This window comes from Homo sapiens, chromosome 6, assembly GCF_000001405.40.
Source record: "Homo sapiens chromosome 6, GRCh38.p14 Primary Assembly".
NCBI classification, from domain to species: domain Eukaryota; kingdom Metazoa; phylum Chordata; class Mammalia; order Primates; family Hominidae; genus Homo; species Homo sapiens.
This window is the reverse complement of record NC_000006.12, coordinates 116832174-116838173: the sequence shown is the minus strand read 5'-3', so window position 1 is coordinate 116838173 and position 6000 is coordinate 116832174.

Below are 6000 nucleotides of genomic sequence, written 5' to 3'. Positions count from 1 at the left end.
CCTGTTGGCTGCATAAATGTCTTCTTTTGAGAAGTGTCTGTTCATATCCTTCGCGCACTTGTTGATGGGGTTTTTTTTTTCTTATAAATTTGTTTGAGTTCTTAACAAGGCCTTTACTGACCAACTTGCCTGACTAAAATTTCAACCCTACTCTAGAACTTCCTATGCCTTTCACTGCTTTATTATTTTTCAAAATCTTCTTAATACCTTCTAAGATATTACAAAACGTATATTTTTGTCATTGCCTGCCTTCTCTGTTATAATGTAAACTTTATGAGTTTTTTTCTACCCTATTTCGTTCACTTCTGTTTCTTCAGCACTAAGAACAATGCCTAACACATAGTAGACATTTAGTAAGTATTTGATGAATAAACGAAGTATCATAGGCGTGGTTTAATATGCCTCTTCAACAAGAAAAGAAAGCAACTATAGGCAAATGAAAAGTAACTTTGATCAACTGCCAGGTAATTATCTGAGGCTAATTTAGATAAAGTAAGCAATTCTCACTATAGAATTGCTGATATAAATGATCCAAGTTCTCTCTATACTTTCCTAAAGCATTGAATTACTACATAATCAGTTTACCTCTGACTGTACAAGAAATTTGATAATAGCACAAGAATATCCATGATTCAACCTCATTTCTTGTTTCCAACTTGCATTTTCTACTTTAACAATTTAAAGGATTATACACATTTATTTCTACAGTATTTGAGGACAAATCAATGGATTCAGTTAAACAAAACTACTGTTGATTGAAGAATCTAATCAACCAGAATTCTATACAGCAGTCCTAGGTAAATTTGTTATCTTTTTAAATTGGTTATCTGTACACTGTCTTTTCTAATCATAATAGAGAGGGTTTTCTATCTGTTTTTTTTTTTAAGAGTTCTATTATCTCTTCCTACAAGTAAGTTTTCGAAGGAAACTCTCGATGATTGTTGGTCAACTGAAGCAGCTACAGTATCATCAATAATTCACCAAGCTGGTCAAACCATAGTTGTCTGCGTTTGCTTAAGGGATTAAATCTGTTGATTGCCTAAAATCTCAGGGAAGAAGACCTGACATTGTTTCTCACACAATGTCCTATTGCCCACTCAAAATTGCCAACCTCTTATTTTTCCTTACATTAAGTAGACATCTATAATGGCATGTACTCCTTTTCCTGAACAATCTCTTACAATCTTTTCACTGATAGCCTATTCCTTATGAAAGAATTTCTGAATCTGTTGTCTAATTACTTTTCATTTGAGTTGGCCTGTTTCTTGCTACTGAACAGAATCTAAAGTGGCATGTGTAGCATGTATAAAAGGTTATTTATCCTTAAAACATAAACATGCCACACTCACAACATGAACTGTGAACCTGATGGATGATGGGATATGCCTGTTGAAAACAAATAACAAGTAAGTAGTGGGAAGTCTTTCGGGCTTACAATCAGGCAGGTGCTGACTATATTGTCTCATTAGCAGAGGAGAGCAAAGAATGGATAAATAGGAAAGCAGGTGTTACCGATTCTCCCAAACAAATCCTCATTCTGACATCACAAACTGAAGAAAACCAATGTGAACTTGGAGTTTCTGCTTTTAGCTTCTGAGTGTTCCTCACCAACATTCAGCTTTCAGTGCTGTTCCAGGTATTGCAGGTTTCCTAAAGCTACATCCACCCGGCTAAGAAAAGCAGTCTAAGCTGTAATCACTCATGTCTGTGCTATTTCAATGTACTCGTTCGTTCATCTAACAACTAGTTATTGAATGTCTACCATTCATAGGTTCTGTTTAAGATGCTGGATATATTTTAGTAAATATGTGCATATAATCTCTGTCCTTATAGAGCTTTAAAATAATGGAGGAGGTAGACAATACATAAAAAACTAACAATGATGGATATTGATAAATGCTGTGAAGAAAATGAGCACGTTTTCTGAGGAAAGTCACATTGAAGCCAAAATCAAACACAAGAAGGCTAAAAATACTCTGGTATTAAGATTTGCAGGATTAAAAAAAATATTTATGTGTCCTCAACTTTGAGTCCAACACGGTAATCTGGGTTTCTTGCCAATTTAAGCATTTGTTGTGTGTGGAATGTTCTATCACAGATTGTGGGGATCTAGGGGCACAGTTTGTGATTCCTGAAGAAAGTTTATTTTATATATCCTATATTATTTATTTACTACATAGAAAAGACAGCTAAGTTAGTTGTTGACTTGGACTATGTGTATATACATCAGAAAACTGATTAAAAAGTGAGAAATTCAATCAGCTAATTTTTGTATCAACGGCACTAAAGTAGTGATTTGGTGGATTTATTTTTCATTGAATTTATACTTTAGCTTGATATCAAAATGACTTTTAAGCTATGCAACTTGCTACAAAAAAGACTGAAACCTTTTGGTATTTTTTAATGACTACTGAAAATGCAGTTGCAATATGAGAGATTCAGTCAATACCCAAAAAGAAGATAAGGCAATGATTAAACACTAAGCTGAGTAACTGGTAGATACTTTGGGATTTGGGGGGTGAGAGGGTTGCTTGTTTTACAATTAGTGCTGAGTTGGATGAAAGAAGTAATTTTTATGACTAGTACTCAATATCGGGGCTAAGAGAGAGGATGACGGAATACCATGTTGCCATTCTATATGAGACAATGAAAGGCAGAGCTGGATAGTATCCTAAAAGATTAGAGCTCTTCCCTGAAGTGGGGGGCACATGTATGTGTATATATGTGTATATTAAATACATACAGTTGACCCTTGGACAATGCAGGGGTTAGAGGTGCTGCGCCTTCCCTGTACAAAGTACCCCAGAACTTAACTACTAATAGCCTGTTGTTGACTGGAAGCCTTACCAATAACCTAAGTAATCGATTAACACATATTTCATATGTTATATGTATTATGTGCTGTATTCTTACAATAAAATAAATAAACAAAATGGTATTAAGAAAATCATAAGGAAGAAAAAATATATTTCTGTTCATCAAGTGGAAATGAATCATCATAAAGGCCTTCATTCTTGTCGCCTTCACTCTGAGTAGGCTGAGAAGAAGGAGGAAAAGGAGGGGTTGGTCTTACTGTCTCAGGGGTAGCAGAGGCAGAAGAAAATTCATGTACCCATGTAGTTCAAACCCATGTTGTCCAAGGGTGAATTGTGTATATATATATATTTATATTTATATATGTATATATATTTATATTTATATATGTATATATATTTATATTTATATATGTATATATATCTTCAATTTACAACAAAGTATTTTAATAACAATTCATTTTTTGTATGATTGTTAGAAAATAATTTTTTGTTGCAGCACTATTCACAATAGCAAAGACATGGAATCAACCAAATGCCCATCAATGATAGACTGCATAAAGAAAATGTGGTACATATGGAATACTATGCAGCTGTAAAAAGGAACAAGGTAATGTTATTTGCAGAGGCATGGATGGAGCTGGAAGCCATTATCCTCAGCAAGCTAACACAGGAACAGGAAACCAAACACTGCATGTTCTCACTTATAAGTGGGAGCTAAACAATGAGAACACATGGGCACAGAGACGGGAACTACACACACTAGGGCCTATAGGGCATATCGGGGGAGGGGAGAGCATCAGGATAAATAGTTAATGCATGCTGGGCTTAATACCTAGGTGATGGGTTGATAGGTGCAGCAAACCACCATGGCACATGTTTACCTATGTAACAAACCTGCATGTCCTGCACACGTATCCTGGAATTTAAAATTAAATTAAATTTTTAAAAATAGAAAATAGCTTTGAAAAGTGAACACTTGGCCTCTTCTGTACTATTAAAACCTTATAGATTATTACTACTGCTTAACTTCACCAGAAAATTGCCATCTTCACTATTTTGTGGTAAGGTAAGCAGATCTGGCCTTAGGGTAGTGATCTAGCTGAGTTCTACAATTGGATGGATGACAAGTGATTTGTGGGCAATAATACATTGTTAACAATCTTTTCACTGATGGTATTAAATGGTGATGTGTATCAGGCACATGAAGTTGTTGGTGGGAGATTAATGAGGATTATCTGGGTTACAAACAGGTAACAACAAAGGCAGGATCATTATTTCAGAAAACATTCCTGTGTTTCCTGGGAAGCAGAGCTCAAATCTGTTCTAATAGATTTAACAGTGTTCTCATAAAACAGACAGTGATTCTTCACATTTCTGGGACTAAATGACCCTTTGATAATCTGATGAATAACTGAATGTTCTCCCCAGAAAAATCTATATACGCATGTTCACTCAAAACTTTTATACAATTTCAAAAGATTCACAGACTCTCATGAAGTCCATCCATAGACCTCCTAGGGTACCCTAAGTAAGATAAAATGCTGTATGTTGCCCATTAAAGAAAATTAATTACTTAATGTTAAAACTACATATTAAGTAAGAAATGCTAGGGGGGATTTCAATTACAGACCAGGGTACAGCAGGAGAAGAAAATGGAGCAGGATGAAGTAGAGTGTTGCAGAGATCAATGATAGTTCAATATTAAATAGTACAGTGATGGAATAATAAGCCAGCTGGGCAAGTACGGGGAAACAGGGAACCTGGTGAGGGAAAGGATACAAGAGGACCAAAATCTGACTTGGTTATTTTATGACCTTGTTAAGGACCAATCTTTCTCTTTTTTGCATATTTGAAATTCAGCTAAATGAAATAGCTTTCTTAGCTATGCATCCAGCGGTCCCCGTGGGGATTTAGGCTTTTGCTTGTAATTTTACCTCTAGAAGAGGTTTTATTGAACTCTTTATTTAAGGTGCAGTGATATCCCTCTAGCATTCAATACTTATTAAGCAATATGAATTGATATTTTTATTTTCTTGGGTAAATGATAATAGCAACAGACTGTAAAAGCTGCTGATCATATCTAGTGAGAACTATAGCTTGGATTCATTTTTCTGGGGCTCATCTATCTACTATGAGCTCATTGGTGATTTGTTAAGATGAACAAACTGAGCAATATATTTGTAATGTAATTAAATGCATACATATACAAGTAAATAATAACATTATAATAAGTAACATGTAATTGCAGACATTTAAAGAGTCTTCAAACTCATATATGTTTGTTAAACTTTCTGGACAACTGAAGTTGTCCTCATAAAAAAGCCTGCCATTTGAACTGTGAGATACACAAAGAAGTGTAAAACATGTATCTGAATCTTTAAAAAGCTTCAATCTAGTTGAAGAGGTAATAGTAAGCACGTGAAAAATTAGAAAATAATGGAAGGATTAAATAAGCTGGTAAGCTAGCAGCACAAGAGATGCCAGTTGAACGTGCCTAATCGTGGGATTCACGGCTCAGTGCTTATGGTTGTTTTTAAGGGTAAAATCTCTCCTGTTGTGACTTCTTGATAAGGAATTATTGAGAAAGAGAGGCACACCACAAGCAGAAAAAAAAATTCATTCAAATTTAATGTTGATGAAATAAAACGGAATTGGATAATTGTGTTTTGAATACCTGCTTGTTTTAGCTAAATATATTTTTGTTCATGCTGCCCTGAAAAACAAAAGGAAACTGAAGTAGTTTGACAATATGGAATGATGGGTCAGAAGTGATTCTTAAGTTCTGTTTATTTCCCCCCTAGGCTGTAGATATTGGCATCTACCCTTATAACATTGGTATTGGCTTCTTTCCTTCCAGAGGACACTCTCTGACCTGTTCCATCAGGCTGACTCCATGTGCAACGGCATAGTCAGGTGCCTGCCTAGTGTGGACCAAGGATCCTCCATGAGCCCCTGCCACACTCTACCTCCCTTGACCCCTCTTGCAGACAACTGAAATTCCATTGTTTTATATTTATTCCTTTAATCTTGAAGACATTTCTCTTTTAAATATCTTATTGCAGATGCAAATAGCACTGAAAATAATTTTGTAGTGTCATTGTTAAGATGAAACTCAATGAAGTATGAAAGATGGGTGTGCAATTGAGGAGGGTGAGTGGGAAGCTGGAATAACAGGAGGGAAAAA